General features: G+C 45.0%; 1 protein-coding gene across 1 annotated transcript in view, besides 2 other annotated features; it reads right to left on the bottom strand.

Annotated features, from left to right (window-relative positions):
- The window catches only part of RPH3A (rabphilin 3A), a 323646-nt gene extending 300355 nt beyond the window's left edge, over positions 1-23291 (bottom strand). Inside the window, exon 1 of the mRNA NM_001347952.2 lies at positions 23208-23291. The gene's annotated coding sequence lies outside the window, so the exon portion shown is untranslated. The remainder of the gene's footprint in view (positions 1-23207) is intronic.
- Positions 17441-17965: an enhancer, noted in NCBI's record as "H3K4me1 hESC enhancer chr12:113018366-113018890 (GRCh37/hg19 assembly coordinates)". NCBI's record gives its function as "activates a minimal SCP1, AML or CMV promoter by ChIP-STARR-seq in naive H9 embryonic stem cells {active_cell/tissue: H9 hESC(naive)}" and the evidence as "EXISTENCE:reporter gene assay evidence [ECO:0000049][PMID:30033119]".
- Positions 19863-20382: an enhancer, noted in NCBI's record as "OCT4-NANOG-H3K27ac hESC enhancer chr12:113015949-113016468 (GRCh37/hg19 assembly coordinates)". NCBI's record gives its function as "activates a minimal SCP1, AML or CMV promoter by ChIP-STARR-seq in naive and primed H9 embryonic stem cells {active_cell/tissue: H9 hESC(naive and primed)}" and the evidence as "EXISTENCE:reporter gene assay evidence [ECO:0000049][PMID:30033119]".

The following is a 27028-nucleotide window of genomic DNA, read 5'->3' as shown; positions in this document are numbered from 1 at the left end:
CTCAGACCAGCCAAACTCATAAGAGTATGATGTATAAATCAGATGGCTGATTTATTGATTCCATTGAAAACCAGTATCATTCAGGGGGACAAAAACTCACCTTCTTCACTAAGCACATTACTTCCTATTCCGAATATATTCAGGAAGCTATAGCCCACACTACTGATGTCCCTAACACCTTTCTTTGCACACTGAATTGACAACGTCTGTTCTCTGGCTTCCCAAGCATGCTAAGTCAGTGGATAGAGAAGGTCAGAAGTGTCAATGAGAGAACACTCCTTGTAGCTTTCCTCAACTGATGGATGACTGATGTGAATGAAGAATACTTCCTCATGCACACAACTTTGCACACCATGCATGACATGGCAGTATGTTCAACCCAGCCTCCCAGAAGGCGTCTGCAGGATTGAGCACGGTTGCCCTCAGCAACTGTGGTGCCCTACTAGTGCTTCATGGAATTACCCACCAAATAAACTCTTGCACTCAAAATCCTTGTCTTGGGGTCTGCTTCTAGGAGAACCCAGCCTAAACGACCTACAGAAGTTGTTTGTAGTCCTGGAATCACAGTCAATTGGACAATCATAATGTTGGGTCGCTCCATTCTAGGGATTTGCCTGATGCATGAGTCAGCTTCTCTTGCCTATAGGTCTAGGAATCCTCTTTTCTGGACAGTTCTGGACACATAAGCTGACCAGTCTATGCTCCTTCTATATGAGACTTCTATAGAGACTATGAGACTTCTATAGAGTCTCAGTTAACAGTCTCTCTTCAGAGGGCAACCAGATGTTCATGCTTTTAATTACAAACTTGTTTCATGCACCTTCCTGACACAAGTGGAAGTTTCTGGGCTCCCCAAAGTCATCAATCACATACATACTCCCAGCCAGGATTGGGGATAGGTCATTTACTTTTTTCTTTTAACAGAATTTTTGTTTGTTTTTTTGAAACAGGGTCTCACTCCCATCGCCAAGGCACAACCACATCTCACTTTAGCCACAACCTCCCAGACGCAGGTGATCATCCCACCTCAGCCTCCCAAGGCTGTACTCCCAGCCTTGGGGCTACAGGCACACACCACTATGCCTGGCTAATTTTTTTGCATTTTTAGTAGAGGTGGGGTTTTACCATGTTGCCCGGGCTGGTCTTAAACTCCTGGGCTCAAGTGAGCTGCCTGCCTCAGCCCCCCAAAATGCTGGGATTATAAGCATCAGCCAATGCAACTGGCCTCTTTTAATAGATTTTTAACTACACAAATAATACATTGAAACATTCCCTTTTTTATAAGAATTAAAACGGGACAGATAAAGATCAATTCCCTCTTGAACACCGTCTTTTCTCAACAATCACAGTTCCCTCTCCTCCTCCCCAAAAATAACCACTGTGTCAGTTTGGTGTGTACAGTTCCAAGCTTTTTCCTATGATTTTATGCAGATATATTAAGTCATGGAAAAAGTTTGGGTGGGAGAAGGTTAATGTGTCTTCCTTCTGTTGGTATACTGCACTAGCAACAAACAGTAGAAAAAAGGAAATGTAAAATGCAATGCCATTTACCACAGAATCCAAAAATGTTTTTAACCTATGAATAAATTTAACAAAAGACGAGCAAGACCTCTACACTGACAAAAACAAACATTACAAAAAGGAGTTAAAGAAAACTTACATAAATGGAGAAATGTCCCGTGACCATGGATTGGAAGATTTAATATTATGATTTTAATTGTCCCCCAAATGGTTTACGGATTCACTAGAATCCAAATAAAAATCTAGGGTCTACTTTTATTGAAATTTATTAGCTGATTCTAAAATTTATATAGATATGCAAACAACCTAACAAAAATCAAGCAATATAGAAGAAGGGTGGAAAACTTAAACTATCAGATTTCAAGTCTTACTCAAAGCTATAGTTATTAAAAATATGGCGCTATTAACAAAATAATAGACAAAAGACTGATAGAACAATACTAAGTCCTGAAGTGGAGCCACACACATCCAGTCACCCGATTTACAATGAAGGCATTACTGCAGTTTGAGAGCACAGGAAGGGGAAAATAATGGTTGTTTGAATAAATGGTGCTGGATCAATTGGATATCCATGTGGATACTAATACAAACCAAAACTTTGACTCCCTACCTTACACCATACACAAAAGTTAATTGTAAAGAGACCATATGACCTAGGCAACATCATGAGACCCAATCTCGACAAAAACTTTAAAAGTTAGCCAGTCATTGTGGCACATGCCTGTGGTCCCAGCTACTCAGGAGGCTAAGGTAGGAGGGTCACTTGAGTCCAGGAATTCAAGGCTGCAGTGAGCCATGATCATACCACTGCACTCCAGCCTGGGCAAGAGAGTGAGGTCTTGTCTCAAAAATAAGAAACAAAAAAATGAAGAGACCATGAACATATTTAACAAATTATCTATCTTGCTTTTCTCACTCAATGATGTTTTGAGAACCCACCCTTCGTCCACACATACCAACCTACATAACTGTTTTAATGGTGGCTGAGTAGCCCATACCAGATGTGTCATGGTCTATGGAGCTGTTCCCTTCACACATGTCTATGTAGTCTCTCCAGTAGTGTCAGAGAAATGGAATTGCTGCAGCATAGGAGCTGGGTCATTTTTTTCAGGCCAAGTAGAACTTCCATTTTTCTTCCAAATTTCATTCTCAGTTAGCATTGGTATCGTGTGGTTGCCCCCAGGGAGGACGGAAATCAATACTCTACCCAAAATTGGCTTGGATGTCAAGAATGATGATGCCACATATGCACTAAGAGTATGGAAATAATCATTAACTCACATAATGTTTCTTTCTGAGAAGAGCAGGGAAAACACCCAAGCTGGTCTGGAATGGCTTGAGCAAAGGGAGTGGCAATGGCTTTGGTTTTTATTGTGGTTAGGGGGGTGGGGTTGAATGACGGTCCTGCGTGGGTGGGTGAACTTCTCCACCAATGCCAAAAAAGGTAGTGCACAGGATTTCTTATTGGCTTATCCAGATATGAGGCAAAAGGGGAAGGAGGAGGGAGAGGGCTTGGAAGTTGTCAGTAGTCAAACATTCAAAAATGGAGTATCTCAGCTAAGGGAAATATTTTGCTGCATGATTACATACCCTCTGGATCAGTAAATAGTCACTAATTGATTATCATAGGCTCTGGCTTTAGCTTATCATGTCAGGTTAGGCTAGGTTATGCTCTTGACTCAGTTTCCCCATCTGAAAAACCATTAAAGAAAGCCACCAAGTAAGAGATATATCTAAGCTGCTCATCGATCTTTTTATTGAGCATTTACTAGGTGCTAAGTACTATTCTGAGAGCTTTTTCATGAATTAACTCATAGCCATGTAAAAACTCACTGAATTTAGCAGTTATTATCCTTATTTTACAGGTGAGAAAAATGGAAGCACAGAGAGGTGAAGTGATTTGACAAAATTACATAGCCAGTAAGTGTGGAAATGGGACTCAAGACCAGGCTGTCCAGACCCAGAGCCCAAGCTCTTAATTACTATGCTAGGCTGTGGACTCCTTCATAAGAGTGACAAATGCCTGTTTCCACTATGCTGTGCAACTCCAGAATCAAATAGAATACCATGTGAGTAATGCTCTCTAGAGTTGTGGAAAAGTTGGGACTTGCATGCATCGAACACAATGCCTGGAATATAGCGAGTGCTCAATGAACATTGGTGAATTAATTAATCAATACCTTTATGCATAACAATAATAACAAAGTAGCATTATATTATCCATGAGGATACAAAAACCAATACAATAAAATCAACCAAAGAGCTCCAGCTCACACATTGGACATTATTTCAACCTCCCACATCAATAGCAACTAAAGAGAAATTCCCCAGAACTAATTAGACTGAGAGCTCCACGAGGGCAGGAACAGAATCTGTTTTGTTTTTGCTGGAACCCAAGGACCCCAGCACAGGTCCTAGCATGGAATACTCACTTCAAAAGTATTTGCTGAAAAATGGATGGATATTTGGACAGAAGATACTCGAATGAATAAATGGAGGGAGGGATTATTAGATAGATGATGAGATGGATAGATGGAAGGATGGATGGATGATTGTGTGAATGGATGGAAGAAAGATGACTGCATAAACAGAGATGGGTGGGTGGGTATGTGGGTGGAATGAGCAGTTAAAATTATGGACTCTGTAGTTAGACTGCCTGGCTTCAATTCCCAATTCTGTCAATTATTCCAGGAATATAGACGGAATAAGAGGCCAGAAGGTGACCCAAAAGTAGGCCCAGAGAAGGAATGAGAGGGTAGTTTGTGAATGAAATAATTGTGGAATGCTAGAGCCAAAAAGAACAAATTTAATCAAGCACCCTTTTTGTACAAATGAGAATACTAGAAGTCAGAGAGATAAAACTATTGGTCCAGAATAACACAACTGATTAGAGGCAGTACCGAAACAAAAGTCTAAGTTTCCTGACTGTCTTTATTCAACCAACAAACATATATTGAGCATTTACTATGTACCAGGTACTATACTAGGTGCTGAATATACCACATTGAGCAAAACAGACACAGGATCTACTCTCAGAGCACTCAAAATCTGAAGGGAAGTAAGTGTTATATGGGGGAAGTACCAGGAGTTAGGGGAGCATATAACAGTGACAACTAATCCAGTCTAGTGATCAAGGAAGGCTTCCCTGAGGAGGTGGCATTAAAGTCAAGACCTATAGACAACTGAAAAGATGGGTAGGAGTCATTCTAGCAGAACCACTCTTAGATAGCTCTATAACCCCAGGATAACTGCCTAATCTCCCTGGAACTCATTTTATCTTTAGATGTGGATAATAATTAGCACAATAGACAGCACTCAATAAGAGTTGGTTCTCCCTTCCTTCACAGGAAGGTGGCCTTCCAATCTAACGCACCATCTATGAGAAAAAGAGTAGGTATATGTAGAGTCTAATAACACAAACCATAATTGTTCTTTTATTCATTCTGTAATATTTCTTGAGCACTGGCTGTCAAGAGCTTTTCTAGACATGGATGTGCAGTTCCTACTCATCAATTCTAATAGAGAATGTATCGGTCAGGATGGACTAGGTTCTGCTGTGTAACAAACACACCAAAATCCCACCAGCTTAACACAACAAAAGTTTACTCCTCCCTCATAGAGTCTGCTGCAGGTCTAGTAACTCAGAAATCCGGGTGTTTTAATCAGCTCTGGCAGCTATAATAAATTAGCATAAATTTGGGCAGCTCAAACAGCAAACATTTGTTTCTCACAATTCTGGAGGCTGAGAAGTTCACAATCAAGGTACCAGCAGATTGGGTTCCGGTGAGCATCCCCTTTCTGGTTTACAGATGACTGTCTTCTCGTTGTATCCTCACATGAGCAGAGAGAGAGAGGCAGCAAGCTCTCTGGTGTCTCTTCTTATTAGGGCACTAATCCCATTCATAAGGGCACCACTCTCAGGTCCTAATCATCTCCCAAAGCCCCATCCCCTCACATAATGTTGGGGCTGGAGTTTCAACATATAAAGTTAGGGAGACATAATGTTCAGACCATAACACCAAGTTCAAATGATACCCTGATTCCACATTTTCACCATGAGGCCTTCAGACTCCATACAGCAGAAAAAAGAACACAGAAAACTCACACAGGCTTTCCCAGGCTTAGGCCTGGGGGTGATGTATGCCCCTTCTGCTCATAGCCCATTGACAGGAATAAGTCGTGTGGCCCCGCTTAACTACAAGGGTCTGGGAATGGAGAAGTGCCGGGACCACCTGAGGAACATTATTGTCTCTGCCACAGAGGAGACACACACTCAAGTCAGCACACAAACAGGATATACAGTCGGCCATCAGTATCTGCAGGTTCTGCATCCACGGATTCAACCAACCACAGATCGAAAATTTTCCAAAATAAAAATTAATACAGCAGCCAGGGACAGTGGCTCATGCCTATAATCCCAGCACTTTGGAAGGCCAAGGCGGGCAGATCACGTGAGGTCAGGAGTTCGAGAACAGCCTGGCTGACATGGTGAAACCCCATCTCTACTAAAAATACAAAAATTAACCAGGCATGGTGGCGTGTGCCCGTAATCCCAGCTACTTGGGAAGCTGAGGCAGAAGAGCCGCTTGAACCCGGGAGGCAGAAGTTGCAGTGAAACAAGATCACACCACTGCACTCCAGCCTGGGTGACAGACACTCCATCTCAAAAAATAATAATAATAATAACTATTTTAAAACAATACAGTATAACAACTATTTTATTTTAATTTTAATCTATTTGTTTATTTATTCTGAGACCAGGTTATGAGACTGGCTAATTTTTGTATTTTTGGTAGAGGCAGGGTTTTGCCATGTTACCCAGGCTGGTCTTGAACTCCTGGCCTCAAGGGATGCACCCACCTCAGCCTCCCAAAGTGCTAGGATTACAGGTGTGAGCCACTATGCCCAACCAACAATACAGTATAACAACTATTTACATAGCATTTACATTGTATTAGGTATTTAAATAATCTCGAAGTGATTTAAAGTATGCAAAGAGGACATGCATAGGTTACATGCGAATACTACACCATTCTATGTCAGCGACTTGAGAACCCACAGGTTTTGGTATCCAAGGGGGTCCTAGAACCAACCCCGGGGATACTGAGGGACGATTGCCAGGAAGTTTTTAACTGGATGACCTGGCTCGAGCTTCTGAATTAAGACTTCAGAATGTAGCAGACACAAACATAAAACCACAGATGAAAAGAAATAAATGACAATACATCACAGACTGCCTCAAAGGCAGGTGAGGAGTTCTACTGAGTTATCTGTCCCTGCAGTCTAGCAGTATCCAAGCAGTGATTTCATTTCCGAGCACAAATCACCAAAACAATGCAGAGTGCAGAAATGGAGCCACACAATTCCCATAGCATCTGTAAGAACAGCCCGGCATGGCATCATACCCAGGATTGATTTACTGGACGCCATTCTGAAAGTGAAAAGTTCAGCACGTCACAGCCTGTGCTTAACTGGTACTGAAGTTCAGTTCAAATAAAATAAAACTCACCAGAGGTCTCCAACTCAAATGGCTACAGGGACCACTAAATGAGAGAAGTGACCTCATGGGACAGGGAGCAAACAAGGAGGCACATGCCCATAGAATGGCGCTCTGCAGGGCCAGTGCAGTGGCTCACACACACTTGCAATCCCAGCACTTTGAGAGGCTGAGGTGGGAGGATCGCTTGAGGCCAGGAGATCAAGACCAGCCTGGGTAACATAGTAAAATCCTATCTCCTAAAAATTTTTTTTAATTATCTGGGTGTGGTGGCACACACCTGTGGTCCCAGCTACTCAGGAGGCTGAGGTGGGAGGATCATTGAGCCCAGGAGTTTGACGCCAGCCTGGGCAACACAGCAAGACCCCATCTCTATTTTCAAAAATTAATTATCTGGGTGTGGTGGCATACACCTGTGGTACCAGCTACTTAGGAGGCTGAGGTGGGAGGATCCCTTGAGGCCAGGAGTGCAAGACCAGTCTAGGCAATATAGTGAGACTCCATCTCTACCAAAAAAACCCAAAAGCTAAAAAACACTTTTTTAAAATTAGCTGGGTGTGGTGGCACGTGCCTGTATTTCCAACTACTCGGGAGGCTGAGGCAGGAAGATCACTTGAACCTAAGGTTTCGAGGTTGAGCTATGATTGCAGTCCAGCCTGGGCAACAGAGTGAGACCGCATCTCTTAATTAACTAATTTTTTTTAAAGGTGCTCCTCAGTATCACCTAAGTGTTGCTACCTGGGATTAGTTTTAGATTTTAAGAGAAGTGGAAATCTGGAATTTTACATGAGACTTCTCAATTTTTAAACATAGAAATTAAATAAAATTATTTCAAACACACTTTAGGTTGAACAAAATATAACTGCCATTCAAATTCATCCAGCGGTCCTAAGGTGCTCTGTTTCATCTCTAAAACAATGCAGCCCTGAGCCTGAGCCAAATCTGAGTCACCCCATGAGCCATTTCCATGACACTGAGCCCTGATGTCCACCCCACTGGGGGACTCATGGAATGAGGAGGGGCTGTGCTATCTTTGTGGGTTACAGAAACAACACAGGCTTTCTGGTATTCTATGGCTTATGGGATTCTAACACCAGAGAGAAAGGACCTGCTCAAGGTCACTGGGTGAAAGGTGATTGAGTCGAGACTGGAACCCTCATTCAGCAGGGTGGTCTCCGAGGCTGGTGGCTGCAAGAGCTCAGTGGAAACAGCCACACTGAAATGCCACTCCAGCTGTGCCACTCACTGGCTCTGTGACCCTAGGCGAATCCGTTGTCCTCTCTGAGCCTCTTTTCTCAGCACTAATGGGTAAAAATCATAGAAGAAGAAATCAGTGTCATGTAAATGAAATCAGTTAAAGTCTATGATGCAAGCAGTCCAGAGCCTGGCCCTATTATTATTTTTCCTTTACTTTTTTTTTTTTTTTGAGATGGAGTCTTGCTCTGTCACCCAGGCTGGAGTACAGTGGCATGATCTCAGCTCACTGCAACCTCCCCATCCTGGGTTCAAGCGATCCTCCTGCCTCAGCCTCCCAAGTAGCTGGGATTACAGGTGTGCACTATCACGCCCAGATAATTTTTATATTTTTAGTAGAGATAGAATTTCACTACGTTGGCCAAGCTGGTCTTGAACTCCTGACCTCAAGTGATCCGCCCACCTCAGCTTCTCAAAGTGCTGGGATTACAGGCGTGAGCCACCACAATTTACTATTTTTCATTCCACAAATGTTTATTATGCATCTTCTGTGTTCCACTTACCAGGGATACAGACAGGGTCCCTGCCCTCATGGAGCAAATGGTGCAGGGGCAGGGGAGACAGACAAGAGACGAATGAACAAATGGATTTATAAAGTGTTCATTGTTGTGATTAAAAAGAAATAACGCAAGCCAGAGATGGCTAGAAAGTGAGAGGAGGTGTAATGTTAAACAGGTTGGTCAGGGGAGGGGTCATGTATGTTGAGAATTGAAGGAAATGGGAGAGCCAGGCAAATCTCCCAGGGAAGAGCATTCCAGGCTGAGGGAACAGCCAGTGCAAAGGTCCTGAGGCAGGACATGTTCTTAGAGATGTTCAAGGAACAGCAAGGAGGCCATGGTGGTTGGAACTGAGAGAGTAAGGGTTGTTTTTATTTGTTGCAGGAGCAGAGTTGAGGACAGATACTAGGGATGGGGAGTTAAATGGGCTGAAGTCACCAGGAATTTGATTAGCCCTAAGGAGGAGAGAAAGCACAGTTTGTAAGAGGAAGCCTGAGAACAAAGTTAAGAGGCAGGAATAAGGTGGGCCAGTGAGTAGTGAGGCCTGGGCAGGAGTTTTGGGTGTACCAACCCTCCTGGGTTGGCCCCCACTTCCCCCTCCAGCCTCATCTCTCCATAATTCTACTAATCGCCCCCTCTACCAGCCTGGTCTTCTTCCTCCATCCATACCAGAAACCCTGTGTTTCTCCTGCCTCAAGGCCTTTGCATATGCTGTTCCTCTGCCTGGAACACTCTCCCCCCTTCCCCCAAGAATCCCACTCCTTTCTCCTCCCCTAATTTAATCTCTGTCCATCCTTCAGATTTCACTTTAGGTGTCTGTACCTCCAAGTAGCCTTCCAGATTCCCCCAGCTGAATTACAGCCCCTTTAGAATGTTCCTGGTACCCCTGTGCTGCTCCACATGTCACACTGTGGTCTAATTGCCAGGTTACCATCTGCCTCCTATGTCCACTGGCTTCTTGGTAAGGGCAGAGTGGGATCTGGGTTCAGTTCTACACCCACAGGCCCCACACCCCCAGAAAACGGGCTTAACTGGCCTTGGAGAAGGCAAAGTGCAGCTGCTGAGAATGCAGTGGAGAGAGAGAAAGAGCGAGGCAGGAGGGCTCGCAGGATCTAAATAATGCACCCAGGCATTGAGCATCTCTTTGAATTTGACTTTATATATTGATATGATTTGGCTGTGTCTCCACCCAAATGTCGTCTTGAATTGTAGCTCCCATAATCCCCACATGTCGTGGGAGGGACCCCGTGGGAGATAATTGAATCATGGGAGCAGGTTTTTTCCCATGCTATTTTCATGATAGTGAATAAGTCTCACAAGATCTGATGGTTTCATATATGGCAGTTGTTCCCCTGCACGCACTTTCTTTCATGTAAGACATGCCTTTGCTCCTCTTTCACCTTCCGCCATGATTGTGAGGCCTCTCCAGCCATATGGAACTGTGAGTTCATTAAACCTCCTTTCATTTATAAATAACTCAGTCTCAGGTGTGTCTTTATTAGCAGCATGAGAACAGACTAATACATCTACATTTCCACAGTCCACTCCATTTAATGCTGTGCATAAAAAGATTGTTTTTGTTCATTCATTTGCTCAACAAATATTTATTGAGCAACTTCATTGTGCCCAGCAATAAAAGGAATGATAGACATCATAGAGGTGCTAATCTCACTTCCCTATACCTCAGTTCTCTCAATGAAAGCATTCACTCAGCCACCTCAATGTGCCTAGCATGAGCAGGAAACACAGAACTGTGAAAGGCACCTTTCTTTCCTTCAAGAAGATTATAATCTAGATTTTTGAAGAGATCACCTTGTAAGAAGGAGTGGAAGCCAAGAACAAACCTCCAACATTCACCGAGGGCTCACAGTGAGTGAGGTGCTCTGCTAAGTGATTATATCCATTGTCTTATCCTTCTGCTCAGCCCCACCATGCACCCACTCATTCATTCAACAGATGTGCCGTAAATTTTCCGTGCACTAAACACAGCTCTAGTTCCTACAGGTTCAGCAATGACCAAGACAAAGTCTCTACTCTCACATAGATGACCTCTATAGAAGGAAACAAACAAAAAATAAATACACAATATAAGGTCAGGAAGTCATAAATGAGATAAAGAAAAATAAAGCATAAGGGGCTGTGATGTTGTACAAAAACCTGAATGAAATAAGAGAGCCAACCACACAAGACAAACATTTCAAGCAGAGGGAACAGCCAGCACAAAACCCTATCAGGTAGGTTACTACCATTGCCACTTCCCAGATAATGAAACTGGACTAACTCTAAGGCTTAGAGAGGTTAAGCAATTATCCAAGATCACATAGCTCAGAAGTGGCAAAATTCAGATTTCAATCCAAGTCTGATTCCAGAGCTCATGATTGTCATCACTATGTGATACTTTCACTCTCAGAAGAACCGTATTAAGACTATGAACTTGCCTTTGCACACTGCACTAGCTATATCCTAAAGAAACTGATATGTATTTTTATTACCTCTTTCTCTAAATATTTCATAATTTCAGTGTGATTTCCCTTTGACCCAAGAGTTGACTCAATGAGGTTTCAAATTTCCACAAATCAGAAGGGATTTTTGACTTTCTCAAAGGAAACAAGGGTTAAATCAAACTCAGTGGAGATGATTCACAATACTTATGTTGCATTTTATAGTTTATAAAGCACATGTATTCTTCTTCATCAAAACCCAATAAAATGAATTAGATGGGAAAATAGCCTTCTTATTTTACGTAGCTCAGAAATGTAAATTCCTAATCCAAGAAGAGACAACTAGCAAGTGGCCAAAATAATTTCACACTATACCCTACTGCAGCTCCATAAGGGATCTATCATGTAGAATTTGATGCTAAACTCCTGAGATATATAGGAGATGGTATTGTGTGGTAGTGAACAGTAGCCTCTGAAGTCACCCTGAGGTCCAAATCCTCATATTCCCACTTAGAAGTTGTGAATGTCTTCATCGCTCTATGCCTCAGTTTCCCTAACTGTAAAATGGCCATAAATAGTAGGACCTTCTTCATAAGATCGTTGGGAAGATTACATGAGGACATGGTTTCCATCATTCCTAAAATGAAATACAAACACCTTACTATGCACAGGGCCTGTGCAAAGTCACAGGCAAGGCTGCAAGTGACCTGGCCCCTACCCACCTGTCTGCACACTCCCTCTAGCTTCATTCCCCTGCTTGGTCTTCTTGTAATACTCTTAGCTTATTCCAGCCTCATAGCCTTCACCCTTGCCATGCCTTCTTCCTGGAACATTTTCCTCACAAATCTTCTCATGCCTTACTCCCTCACTGCATCCAGGTCCTTACTCAAATGCCTTTTCAGATGGCCTGACATCCCCCTTCCAGTATTTCTGTCCCCTCCCCACGGCTATATTTGCCTTCACAGCACTTAGCACAACCTGCAAGTTACTCATTAGCTAATTTGTGTATTGCCTGCCTTCCCTGCAGGTAGAAGAGTCCCATGAGAACTGGAATTTGGTTTATTTTATTCATTACTTTGTCCGCAATACCTCCAGCAGCTAATAAATAAATAGTGGCTTTATTAATACAAGCGTGGAGGGCACAGCACAGGGTAGAATGGGGAGAACTCTGAGCTCCTCACCTGCTACATCACCTGAAGCAGCTCAACCTTTATATGACACATCAGATTTCATTGGGTAAGAATTTCATGGATTTTTTTCTTCTTTTTACATATGAAAAGTAATCATATGGATCAGACTACCAGCATCAGACTTACCTTGAGGCACCTGCTAAAAATCCCCAGTCCACACCTCCACCTCCTTGGTCCCACAGAATTTCTGGGGGATCCAGGAATCTGCATATCAACAAGCACCCTGGGTAGTTCCTAAACAATCTAAAGTTTGAGTTCTACTTATCTAGAGGGCTCTTGGTCCTTATTGAATCTCAACATCAGGATTAGAGGTGTGTTGATTCTCTAGAACATTCCTTTTGGCACACAAGTGCACTGCCTGGCCATTTTAACCAACTTTTTTTTTTCTTTGAGACAGAGTTTCACTCTATTGCCCAGGCTGGAGTGCAGTGGCGCAGGATCTTGGCTCACTGCAAACTCTGCCTCCCGAGTCCAAGCGATTCTCCTGCCTCAACCTCCCAAGTAGCTGGAACTACAGGCATGCACCACCACGCCTGGCAAATTTTTGTATTTTTAGTAGAGACGGGGTTTCACCATGTTGGCCAGGCTGGTCTCGAACTCCTGACCTCAAGTGATCCACCTGTCTCGAACTCCCGAAGTGCTGGGATTACAGGTGCGAGCCACCGCGCCCAGCGTAACCTTTTCAAGAAACGGGATTCAATGTGCAGTCATGAGGCCATCCAGGTTTTCAACTGGGAAGTCTCCCTTAGTGAATATCACTATGTGGGAAATCATCAAAGAAAACTTGACTGAAACTGACTTGGATTGAAGGATGCAAAGTATTGTTCCTGGGTGTGTCTGTGAGGGTGTTGCCAATGGATATAACATTTGTGTCACTGAACTAGGAGAGGCCTACCCACCCTCAGTCTGGGTGAGCACCATCTAATCAGCTGCCCACGGCTAGGATAAAAGCAGGCAGAGGAACGTGGAAGGACTACACTGGCTGAGTCTTCCAGCCTGCATCTTTCTCCCCTGCTGGATGCTTCCTGCCTTCGAACATCGGACTCCAAGTTCTTCAGCTTTTGGACTTTTGGACCTACACTAGCGGTTTGCCAGGGGCTCTCGAGCCTTTGACCGCTGACTGAAGGCTGCACTGTGGGCTTTCCTACTTTTGAGGTTTTGGGACTCAGACTGGCTTTCTTGCTTCTCAGCTTGCAGACAGCCTATCGTGGGACTTCACCTTGTGATAGTGTGAGTCAATACTCTTCAATAAACTCCCTTTATATATACATCTATCCTATTAATCCTGTCCCTCTAGAGAACCCTAATACACCGTCCCTCTGCACACGTGCACACTTCAAAGCCTCAAACAATAATTGGCTCCCCTAGGCGTCCTCAGTTTTGTTCATTCCTTCCGGGGAAAGCCACTTCACATAAAGTGGAAGTAAGTAATTTAAAGCTCCATCCTTAATAACAACTGCAGGAGCTCTTGCCGCACTGTGAGACCATCAAGGGTGTGCCCCATGGAGCAATTCTGTCCCTGGACTTCTGAGCCATCACGCCCAGGAATGACGCCTGAGGTGCCCCACCCCTCCAGAGGTGGCCCCTGTGTTTGGACCACACCCCCAGCCTGACACAGTTAATTGGATCAGAAGTAGACCATGTGACCCTGGCTGGACCAATCAGATTCTTTCTCCTAGATTGCGTAGGGAGGTGTTAGTTCAGGCTCAAATATCTGAAAACTCAGCAACTTCCGGGGCCCTGGAGCGTAGAGAACGGTGTCAGAGTGAGAGGCATGATGTTGCCAGGAGTGTAGATATGAACAGAAACATCTGGTTCCCTTGCTCCTGCTCTTGGGTTCCCTGTGGTGTCCAGATATTCTTAACTCTATTCTTTTGTGTTTAACCTTCATTAAATCCATTCCCAAAGAGACCCCAAAATACAAAGTCTCAGATATTTACACGTGAAAGACCCAACAGGGCCTGATAGTTTTTGTGATACTGCAGACTTCCTTGAGCCTTGGATTCCCCGTTTTCTGCAGCGATAATCACTTCTGAGTCCCCTCCCACCAACCTAGGGTCAATCAGAGAATCTTAAGAGTCTCAGAGTCCATAAAGACTCTATAATTTAGCCCTTTAATTTATGTATTTATTTATTTTTTTGAGACAGGGTCTCGCTCTGTCATTCAGGCTGGAGTGCAATGGCACAATATCGGCTCACTGCAACCTCCACCTCCTAGGCTCAAGCGATTCTCCTGACTTGGCCTCACGAGTAGTTGGGACTACAGGCATCTGCCACAACCACCTGGCTAATTTTTGTATTTTTAGTAAAGATGGGGTTTCACCATGTTGGTCAGGCTGATCTCGAACTCCTGACCTCAAGTGATCCACCCACCTCAGCCTCCCAAAGTGCTGGGGTTACAGGCATGAGCCACCGCGCATGGCCAGCCCTTTAATTTTGTAGATTATAAACTGAGGCATGGATATAGGATGTAGTTTGCTCAAGGCCACACAGCAAATGAATAGTAAGGCTAGAAGAGGAACGCAAGTCTCCTGGCTTTTAATGCAGAGCTGCCGCTAGACATTAGGGAAATGCAAAGGATGGTTCCTTCTTCCTTCCATCCCTTTATCAATCTCCTCCTTTTCTTCTATTTTTTTTTAATTACAGATGTTTCTAGGAGAGCAAATATGGGGGCAAGGAGAGGAATACAGTGCTTCAGAGGTCAAACTCTTGGATAAAGAGAAACTTGGTGCAAATCCTATTCCCTATCTGACCTTGAGAAAAGAACTCAACTTTTCTGTGCCTCAGTTTCCTCGTCTGCAAAATGTTGAAAATAGTGACTTCAGAGGGGCTGTTGTAAGGATGGAATGAGACAGTGGACAATACCTGGCACTATTGAACAAACTCTTAAAACAGTAGCTGTTATTATTGTCGTTGAGGATAATGTCGTTATTAGCCGTGCAGACAAAAGAACTCAATGAAAATTAGGTCATACCTAAAAGAAGTGAGGCTGCAGGCAAGTGAGGACTTAATAAAGCATGAAAGTCAGAGTTACCTCCCAGCCACTGTCCTCCCTCTGACATACAGTCAATTCAGTTATGGGAGGCAAAGTAAGTTTTAATTCCAGGGAAAATTCACGAAGCCACCCACCCAGCAAGTTTCTGGGGCATTTATCCATGTTTGCCAGGAAACACAAATAGAACCATTGAAAGAGCCATAAACTCAAGGAAAATAAAAAGATGGAGAAATATTCATGAACAAAGATATGCATCACAAATAGCCATAAGAGAAAAGCTGGCATCAACCAAAATGTCTGCCAACCAGAGAGTGGTTATGTAAATCCAGACATGACCGCTCAATGAAATATGACATACACATTAAAAATGTTGTTCGTGGCCAGGCTGACACCTGTAATCCCAGCACTTTGGGAAGCCAAGGCAGGTGGATCACTTCAGCCCAAGAGTTCAAGACCAGCTTGGGCAACATAGTGAAACCCCATCTCTACAAAAAATACCAAAAAAAAAAAAAAAAAAGCTAGCTGGACATGGTGGTACACGCCTGTAGTCCCAACTACTTGGGAGGCTGAGGTAGAAGGATTGCTTAAGTCCAGGAGGTCAAGGCTACAGTGAGCTATGATCACGACACTGCACTTCAGCCTGGGCAACAGAGGGAGACCCTGTCTCAAAAAAATATATATTTTTCAAGGCCAGGCATGGTGGCTCATGCCTGTTTTTCATGGCCAGGCATGGTGGCTCATGCCTATAATCCTATCACTTTGGCAGGCGGATGTGGGAGAATTGCTCAAGCCCAGGAGCTGGAGGCTGCAGTGAGCTACAATTGCACCACTGCACTCCAACCTGGGTAACAGAATGAGAACGTATCTCTAAAAAATAATAATAATCATAATGTTCATGAAGACAGGCAAGACACAGAGACATGCTTAGGAAGAAATAAAAAAAGGATACAAAACTGTCATGCACAATATAAACAATCATGATTTGTGAAATTATATATCAAAAAAAGACAAAGAAAATTGCCCCAAAGTGTTTACATTGGTTCTTCGGATGATGGAATTGTGGATAGTTTTCACTTATCCTTTTTTGATTTTTTCCAAATTGTTTAATGAGTTTTCCCTCTTCATAACAAGAAAAAACTACATATTAAAATTGAAACATTTGTTGGTAGGTGTGTCAAGGAATCTTAGATCTGGGAAAAACATTAGAGGTCATCTGGTCCAAAACGTCTTACTCAACGGAAAAAGAAACTAAGCCCAGAGAAGCTGAATAACTTTCACAAGGTCACGTAGCTGGTGAGCAGCAAAAGTGGGACTGAACCCGTGTGTCTTCAGTGTCAGTTCAGCTTTGGTTCAAGCACAACAGATTACTAACCAAGGCATGGTATAGAGGGAAGGAAAACTAAACAGAAATATTACATACACATTAAAAATGTTGTTCGTGGCCAGGCTGACACCTGTAATCCCAGCACTTTGGGAAGCCAAGGCAGGTGGATCACTTCAGCCCAAGAGTTCAAGACCAGCTTGGGAAACATAGTGAAACCCCATCTCTAGCTACCTCCCAAGCTACCTACTTCTTTTCCCCCCAAATATTTTGAGTCATTTGTGGACCTGCTCATTTCCATAAAGGCAGAATAATCTTAATTTTGTCGAGACTCTTAATATGGTTTGGCTGTGTCCCCACCCAAATCTTAAATTATGGCTCCCATAATTCCCATGTCATGGGAGGGACCCAGTGGGAGGTAATTGAATCATGGGGGCAGGTCTTTCCCATGTTTTTCTCATGATAGTGAATAAGCCTCACGAGGTCTGATGGTTTTATAAAGGGGAGTTCCCTCGCACATGCTCTCTCTATGGCCTGCCACCATGTGAGACGTCCCTTGCTCTTCCACCGTGATTGTGAGGCCTCCCCAGTCATGTGGAACTGTGAGTCAATTAAATCTCTTTCCTCTATAAATTACCCAGTCTCAGGTATGTCTCTATTAGCAGCATGAGAACAGACTAATACAAATCTGCTAAACATTCTTCCTCACTAATAGTCCCCCAAGGTAAGAAAACTTGCAGGAAGTAACCAAGGAACAATTTTTGCCTTCTAATTTAATTACCACAGTTCTTGTCTATTAGAGCACTCACGAAGAACTTGGATTTAAATGTTCCCCGCAAAGCCAGTGTGGAATGCAGTGGACTCGGTATCAAGAAAAGTTAATTTTGAATGTCAGTGTAATTCTTACAGGAAAACACTCTTCTATAATTTACCTTCCCAATCCATTAGTGCTTTGACAATGTAGGGATTTGATATTTTAGTCACATCCAATCTGCACAAATTGGTTCATAAAAAGACTATCTTGACTAAACTACATTAAAGTGCAAACTAGCTAACTTCCCCACCTCGCCCCCGCCCTCAAATACTGTATACAAAAGACAAGACAGGCCAGGCGCGGTGGCTCACGTCTATAATCCCAGCACTTTGGGAGGCCGAGGCGGGCGGATCACGAGGTCAGGAGATCGAGACCATCCTGGCTTACACGGTGAAACCCCATCTCTACTAAAAATACAAAAAAAAATTAGCCGGGCGTGGTGGCGGGCGCCGGTGGTCCCAGCTACTCGGGAGGCTGAGGCAGGAGAATGGCGCGAACTCGGGAGGCGGAGCTTGCAGTGAGCCGAGATCGCGCCACTGCACTCCAGCCTGGGCGACAGAGCGAGACTCCATCTCAGAAAAAAAAAAAAAAAAAAAAAAAAAGACAAGACAAAAGTGTCTGCTAAGTCCTCGGTTAAAAATGGCCTCACCTGGAGAGCACCCTTTTATAGTCATGCCCTTTTAAGAAGGGCGTGGGAGATGGAAAGACAGGGGGTGGGGAGATATAGAAAGACAGAGATAAAGAGAAAGAGAACATTTTATGTTAAATCCAGAGAGACGTGGAGAGAGAGGCGGAGAACAGGGACAAAATGATTGAGACAGAGACAAAGAGGCAAAGAGATAAAAATAGTGAATGAGAGACAGGAAGACAAACTGACAGAGAGAGAAAGACAGAGATAGAAATAGACACGGTATCTGTTTTTGTTCCTCTCTCTATCCATAGCACCCTAGACAGCCCTTAGCCTATAGTAGAGACTTCTTGTATATGTGTTTACTTAATCAGCTAATTAATGAGTCAGTGAGAGAGTGAATGAAATAACTGGAAATATGTCAAAATCGAGATTAGAAATATGAAGATGGGGGAATGACATAAGAAACAACTTGGCCAGCTATGGTGGTGCACACCTGTGGTCCCAGCTACTCAGGAGGCTGAGGCAGGAGGATGGCTTGAGCCCAAGAGGTCAAGGCTGCAGTGAGCCATGATCACACCACTGCACTAGAGCCTGGGTGACAGAGTGAAACCCTGTCTCCAAAAAAATTAAAAAGAAGATAGAAAAGAAACAGCTAAGGCAGTTGGCAGTAGTTGTCTCTAGGGATGGACCAGAAACAGAGGAACAGAAACTAATATTTTATTATAAATATGTTATAATCTGACTTTTAAACTATATACTTGTATGACTTTGATGCAATACAGCTAATCTTTTAAACAAGATCATAAAAATTAAATGTAATGGCTTTACCAGAATTTTTTTTTAATACAAGAGGAAAGATGAAAAGGAGCAAGAGGAGTTTTCCAAATGGTGGGAATTTGAGAAGAGAAGGTGAGGGAGGAGGCATTCTGGAGGGCAGTTCATGAAGTTCAAATGATACGGGTGCCCACAGATTAATTCTGAGAAAAGTAATCCCTGGGATAACTTTGTTCTGAAAGGTCTGTTTGAGCCGTGCTTTGGGTGAAGCCAGCTCTGCAGCTGTGATCACTATGGGACTCAGAATCGGTGCTCAAGCCAAAAGCAGCCAATCAGTACATGAGGGGGAGACCACAAATGAAACTCTGCCCAATGGAAGTGCGACCTATTTGACAGTGGTAAATCCAACCAATCAGATCCTTTCTTGGAAAGTATAAATACCAGGGCAGGCATTCCTTCTGCCCTTGAGACACCATGGGATTGGGGGAGGCTGTCTATGAATCTCTTGAAATTGTATACAAAAAAAGTATGTGCTGTAGTTTCCCAGGCACGATAGCTTTAATCAGATTTTCGGAGGAACCTATGATGAAGAAAGAGGAAGAACTAGTAAAATAATAAATTTTTTTTACATTTTTTAATTGGAAGATTTCATGTAAAAAATCTGATTTCCAACTTCCCAAAACATACAGTAACATAGAACCTGTAATTTTTCATGGTAATGATTGCCCAGAGCTGAGTTGCTGCTGCTCCTATAGATGGAGCATGTGTTCCCAACTCACTATATTCCCACCACTCTTGTATTTTCTGGCTCTGCCTGCTTCAGTTGTTGACATTTCATGCTCGGACCCTGTAAGCAGTTGACTTTGCAACTCCCAGCTGTCAGAAAGTGGCTAGTTCAGACTAAAATGTAAGTGGTTGCTATGTTCGCATTTTTGCAATAGGAGCTTATTGAACCCATCAATCCCTAATGAAGTTCATAGGGCATATCATGCAGTCCTTCTCGGGCCATGTTTTGGTTCAGGCAGAACCAAAATGACAGAAATCTAGTTCTGGCTGTTCTACCTCCCAAAGATTTACAATCCTCTGTAGATCTTCCCAGATTTCTCTCCATTCTGTTTTTGTTGTTTTGTTTTGGGTTGGTTTCTTAGGAAGTTTTTTGTTTTGTTTTGTTGCTTTTTGAAGACTCATTATTAGTTGCTGGAATTATAGTTTTGCCCCTCAAAAGATTCTGGCCCCCTAGCAAAAGGTGAAGTCAGTAGCACCCTTTGATTGACTCATACTCTTGAAAGCTTTTTTTCTTCCCTGGCTGTGAGGTAACAGTCACAGACAGCCACTATTGCTGGGGTCATGCTGCGAGAAACCCTGTTACCTTTGCATAATAAAAAGCTGCACTGTTTGAAACTGTCTCATGCTGGGCCCATTTTCTTAGCCGCTTGACACCCACATAGGGACAAAATGACTTTGAATTCAGGGGTGGCAGTGAGGAAAACAAAGGTGTCCTATGTCAGAGTCTGTGCTGCTCTTTATCCTGCAAGCTTGAGAACAGTGACTTCCATTATAACTCAGAGGGGAAGAGAGATTTCTTGCCTGAGGCAGGTGTCTAAGAGACTGAATCTCTACTTTACTTGAGTTAATTACATTTGATTCAGTACTTCCTGAATATCATTATGTGAAATGCAGTATGTGTGACATGTGGGAATACAAGAATGAGGAAGACAGAGCCACGGCTCCCAAAAAACTTGAAGCCTAGGCCAGGCACAGTGGCTCACACCTGTAATTTTAGCACTTTGGGAGGTCAAGGCAAGAGGATTGCTTAAGCCCAGGAGTTCAAGACCAGCCTGCCCAACAAAGTGAGGCCCCATCTCTACAAAAAAAAAAAAAAATAGGTGGGCATGATGGTGTCAGAGGCATTTGAACCAGAGCAACTCCATCTTGAATAGGGGCTGGGTAAAATAAGGCTGAGACCTACTGAGCTGCATTCCCAGAAGGTTAAGGCATTCTAAGTCACAGGATGAGATAGGAGGTCGGCACAAGATACAGGTCACAAAGACTTTGCTGATGAAACAGCATATGGTAAAGAAGCCAGCCAAAACCCACCAAAACCAAGATGGCAACCAAAGTGACCTCTGATCATCCTCACTGCTCATTATACGCTAATTACAATGCATTACCATGCTAAGAGACACACTCACCGGCAGCATGACAGTTACAAATACCATGGCAACATCAGGAAGTTACCCTACTTGGTCTAAAAAGGGGAGGAACCCTCAGTTCTGGAAACTGCCTACCCCTTTCATAGAAAATTCATGAATAATCTGCCCCTTGTTTACCATATAACCAAGAAGTAACAATAAGTATAAGCAGCTGCGCAGCCCATGCTGCTGCTCTGCCTATGGAGTAGCCATTCTTTATTCCTTTATTTTCTTAAAAAACTTGCTTTCACTTTACTCTATGTACTCGCCCCGAATTTTTTTTGCATGAGATCCAAGGACCCTCTCTTGGGATCTGGATCAGAATCCCTTTCCGGTAACAGTGGCACATGCCTGTGTTACTAGCTTCCCAGGAGGCTGAGGCAGAAGGATAGCTTGAGCCCGGGAGGTCAAGGCTGCAATGAGCCATTTTCATGCCACTGCACTCCAGCCTGGGTGACAGAGAGAGACTCTATCTCAAAAAAAAAAAAAAGGAAGAAAAGAAAAAAAAGAAAAGAACATTTCTATTGAAAAAAATACAATAATTTAAAAAAAAAAAAAGTTTTATAAGAGGGAATAGCTCAGGGCCCCAGGGCCCTGACAAGAGTAAGACCAGTGTGAACACTGTCATTTTTATTGTATAGCCACACCTTCCAAAAGAAAATTCTTCCCTCCACCAAAATTCTTCTCTCCACCAAATTATGTGGGGCCAGATCTGAGCTTCAGGGGCGTGAAAATAAGAACTCAGGGCTGGGTGCAGGGCCTCATGCTGTAGTCCCAGCACTTTGGGAGGCCAAGGCAGGCGGATAACCCGAGGTCAGGAGTTTGAGACCAGCCTGGCCATCATGGCAAAACCCCGTCTCTACTAAAAATACAAAAATTAAGGCCGGGTGAGGTGGCTGAAGCTTGTAATACCAGCACTTTGGGAGGCCGAGACGGGTGGATCACCTGAGGTCAGGAGTTTGAGACCAGCCTGGCCAACATGGTGAAACCCCATCTCTACCAAAATATACAAAAATTAGCCAGGCGTGGTGGTGCATGCCTGTAGTCCCAGCTACTCAGGAGGCTGAGACAAGAAATTGGACAGCCTGGCCACACAGGGTCTGCAATCCTGCCTGGCAGCGCTCCTGGCGACCCCCACAGCTGAACTGCTCAGCACAGCAGCGTGGTTAAGAGTCAGGACTCTGGAGCCGCCTGCCTGGAGTCCCATCCTGACTTGACACTTGCTACTCATGTGATCTTGGGTAAGTGACTTTCACCTTGCCTACCTGTTTCCCTGTCTGTAAAATCAGGGTCATCACAAGTAGCAAGTTCAGGGAGCGTGGTGAGGATTCAATGAATGAATAACTCCAGACAGCGCCTGGTGCGTAGTTGAAACTAGGTAAGAGTTGGGCCCATTGTGCATCCCTCTGGCCCTGTGTGCATCTGAGTTTGCAACACCTGGTTTAGGAGGTGAAATCAAAAGGATATATTGTCAGGATGGGGTTGGGGTGAGGGGCGGAGACGCCCTCTGATTAACTATGGAAACCTTGATCCAGGGAACGTGCTATGACCTAGAGTGGGAGTGAGGATGCGGGTAAAAATCAGACACACTGTCTCTCTAGTGCCCAGATTTCAGCACTTTCTGAGTTTCCCGTCTTCCTATCCCTTCGAAAGACCCTTGACCAAAGCCTGATGCGGGGTCCCAGCCGGCTCCAGGAGAGGCACATATCGAGCCTGGGTAAAAGCGCACATCCGACACCCCGTGGCTACCGGAGAGGAGCTACCTTCGCCGCAGCCACCCCGCGACCACCTGTTCCCCTCTCGGAGACTCGCAGGAGCAGCCACTTTGGGGGGCCTTGCCGGACCCGCCCCTCAAAATCCCAAAGGATAGCACGGGTCCTGCGCGGGTCTCCCCGCCCCCAAGTCCCTCGTCGCCCCACCCCCGGTTCTAGCGCATCCTCCCGCTCCAGCAGCCCCATTCCCGGAGGCAGCGTCCCGCGTCCGGCCGCGCCCCCACGGGAGCCCCCACGACCCCCCAGCCAGCGCGTGCTGCAGCTTGGGAGGGCAGGACCTGGTGGCCCGCAGCCCCCGCCCGCCTTACCGGCCTGCAGCGTTGGTGGGCCCGTCCCTCCGCCGCCTCCAGCGGTGTCGCCTCTGCCACCGCTGCCACCACCGCGGCAAAGCCACCCGCGCGTGACCCTCGAGCACTAACACCACCCTTCACCCAGCTCTGCCCTTAAATGTGGAAACAGCCGACCATCCTCATCCCCCCGCTAAAGGGAAGCTCAGAAAGGGTTAACAAGCCAAGATCAAGGGTTAGGAACACCACTGCCGCCTTCCTCCACCACCCCCCTACCTTCTCCATCGCCCCTCTCCCTCCTCTTCCTCCCTCTCCCTCCTCCACCTCCACCACCCCCTCCCTCCTCCACCCACCTCCCTCCCTCCTCCACCACCCTCCTCCCTCCTCCATCTTCATCACTCCTTCTCCCACCCTCTCTCCCTCCTCCACCACCCCCTCTCCCTCCTCCACCTTCACCACCCCCTCCTTCCTCCACCTTCATTATCCCTTCTCCCTCCTCCACCACCCCCTCTCCCTCCTCCACCACCCCCTCTCCCTCCTCCACCTTCATCACCCCCTCCCTCCTCCACCACACCCTTCTCTCTCCTCCACCACACCCTCTCCCTCCTCCACCACACCTTCTCCCTCCTCCACCTTCATCACCCCCTCCCTCCTCCACCACCCCCTCTCTCTCCTCCACCTCCACCACCCCTTCTCCCTCCTCCACCACCCCTTCTCCCTCCTCTACCTTCATCACTCCCTTTCCTACCCCGTCTCACTCCTCTACGTTCATCACCCCCCTCCCTCCTCCATCACCCCCTCTCCCTCCTCCACCATCCCCTCTCCCTCCTCCACCTTCATCAACCCCTCTCCCTCCTCCACCTTCATCACTTCCTTTCCTACCCCCTCTACCTCCTCCACCTTCATCACCCCCTCTCCCTCCTCCATTACCCCCTCTCCCTCCTTCACCATCCCCTCTCCCTCCTCCACCTTCATCAACCCCTCTCCCTCCTCCACCACCCCCTCTCCGTGCTCCACCTTCATTACTCCCTCTTACTCCTCCACCACCTCCTCTCCCTCCTCCACCTCCCACTCTCCTCTTCCTCTTCCTCCCTCCCCCTCCTCCATGCCCCCTCACTCCTCCACCACCCCCTGCCTCCTCCACCACCTCTTCTCTCTCTTCCATCACCCCCTTTTTCTTCTCCACTACCCCCACCCCCTCCCTCCTTCACTTTCACTACCCTCTCCCTCCTCCACACCCCCTCCCTCCTCCACCAACCCATCTGTCTTCTACCTCCACCACCCCTCTTCCTCCTCCTCCCCTTTCCCTCTTCCACCACCCCTCTCCCTCCCCCATTACCCCTCTCCCTGCCCCACCACACCTCTCCCTCCCCCACCACACCTCTCCCCAGCACCCCCTCCCTCCTCCATCACCCGTCTCCCTACCCACCACACCTCTCCCTCCTCCACCACCCCTCTCCCTCCACCACCCCTTCTACAGTTGGGTTTTTCTAAGGGTGCAGGCAGAACCCCTTCACATGCCCCTCCCTCCCCCTCAATCATTCTTTCATTTTGCTGTTCCCCAAATCACAGAGGCCATTGCCCCCTGGGGCATTTGCACTTGCTGTTCCTATACTGGGAACATTTGTCCCCTCTTCTAAGGATCCTCAAAGGAAATTCGAGGGGAGGGGGGCCTCAGGGAGTCAGCCAACCGAAGTGCCTCCTTATCTAGTCTCTGAAGGAACTGCTGACCCCAAGGTGCAGGGTTTTCAATGAGTAGCTCAGTGCCTAACCTGGACTTTCAGCTCATTTATGAAACTTTCATTTGTGACCCAAATTAAAATGAGTAGTTATTGGAGGTATTAACAAATTAGCTCATGTAAAGTGCTAGGGACAGTGTCTGGCACACAGTGGACACTCCATAATGTTAGTTATTATCTTCTACCTGCATTCGGCATGACAGCCATTCCAAGGATGAAATGGAGCAGAACATCTTTCCAGGGCTGAAATCATCTCATTCTCTGCCACTTTAAAGCAACTGATGTAACCCAGAGGATTGTGGCCAAATGTGGCCTGCAGAATATATTCTGTTTGGTTTCATTGGTGTTCTAGAAAAATGTGACTTAATTGCCAATACTTAAAAACAGAGATCAGGCCAGGCATGGTGGATCACGCCTTTAATCACAGCTCTTTGGGAGGCCAAGGCAGGAAGATTGCTTGAGGCCAGAAGTTCAAAACCAGCCTGGGCAACATAGTGAGACCCTATGTCTACAAAAAAATTTTAAAATTTAGCCTGGAAGCTGAGGCTCAGAAAGGTCTAGTTAACTCCCCGTGGTCACACAGCTAATAAACAAAGGAACTAAAAGTTGAACAGTCTTTGTAACTCAAGTACCTTAGCATGTTAAGGGAAAGTATAAAGGGGAGGCCAGGGGTGGTGGTTCACACTTGTAATCCCAGCACTTTGGGAGGCCAAGGTGGGAGGATTACCTGAGTCTGGGAGCTCAAGACTGGCCTGGGCAACATAGCAAAATCCCACTTCTACAAACATTACAAAAGTTATCCGGGGGTTGGCATGCACCTGTGGTCCTGGCTACTCAGGAGGCTGAGGTGGGAGGATTGCTTGAGCCTGGGAGACAGATGTTGCAGTGAGTCAAAATCGCTCTACTGCACTCCAGCCTGGCCAACAGAGTGAGACCCTGTCAAAAAGAGAGAGAGAGAGAGAGAGAGAGAGAAAGAAAGAAAAAAGAGAGAGAGAGGAGAGAGAGAGGAAGGAAGGAAGGAAGGAAGGAGAGAGAGAGAGAGAAAGAAAAGAAAGAAAGAAAGGAAGAAAGAAAGAAAGAAGAAAGAAAAAAGAAAGAAAAAAGAAAAAAGAAAGAAAGAGAGAAAGAAAGAAAGAAAGAAAGAAAGAAAGAAAGAAAGAAAGAAAGAAAGAAGGAAGGAAGGAAAATAAAGCATAAAGGGAAAAAAAGTGGTTTACACCAAACCATTTTTTTAAAGGAACACTTTTATTAATAGCACACTTTGAATGCCAATTTGTTGGGATTGTTTAACAAGATTTAAAATTTTATCTTCATCTAAATTGGCAGTGCCCACTCCCACATGCACTCCACCTCCTTATTTTTCTCATTTAAGCATTTTGAAAAATTCTAAAGGTTTGACTAAAACTGAAAATGCTTCTTATTTCATCCATCCCTAGTTACTGGCAACCGTAGGTGTTCTTTCTCTTTTTCTTTTTTTTTTTCTTCAGCTTCTTTATTTATATTTTACTCTTTGTAGTTTGTAAATTCCCTCTTGCCAGCTGCTTACAACATCAAAATGGCTTTATTGTTAGATTTCCAATTAGGGTTATGCAGTCTTTTGGCTCCATAAACACACACATAAGAAGAAATGTGTGCATGTGTACACACACATCTATATGCTCACACTCCCACTCCTAATAGGTTTGTTTTTTTGTTTTGTTTCGTTTTGTTTTGGGAAATAGATTTTACTCTGTTGCCCAGGCTGGAGTACAGTAGTGCAATCTGGGCTCACTGCAACCTCGGCCTCCCAGGCTCAAGCCATCCTCCCGTCTCAGTCTCCCAAGTAACTGGGACCACAGACTTGCAGCCACCATGCCTGGCTAATTTTTGTATTATTTGTAGAGACAGGGTTTTGCCATGTTTCACAGGCTGCTCTCGGCTCCTGCTAATAGGTTCTCGATGTCTGAGTCTCATTTCCCAAAATGTATTTAAAGATCTTAAATTCAAACAACAAAGTCACTAACCGTTTTTAAGGAGCAATTTTTACTGAGCATAATTACACCTTTCATGGGAAATTTTTGGAAAAGTTTGGTTGCAACAGTTAGTCATAAATATAATTCTACA

Source organism: Homo sapiens, chromosome 12 (assembly GCF_000001405.40).
Source record: "Homo sapiens chromosome 12, GRCh38.p14 Primary Assembly".
NCBI lineage: Eukaryota > Metazoa > Chordata > Mammalia > Primates > Hominidae > Homo > Homo sapiens.
The sequence above is the reverse complement of the archived record's forward strand: the minus strand, read 5'-3'. Positions and strand labels throughout refer to the sequence as shown.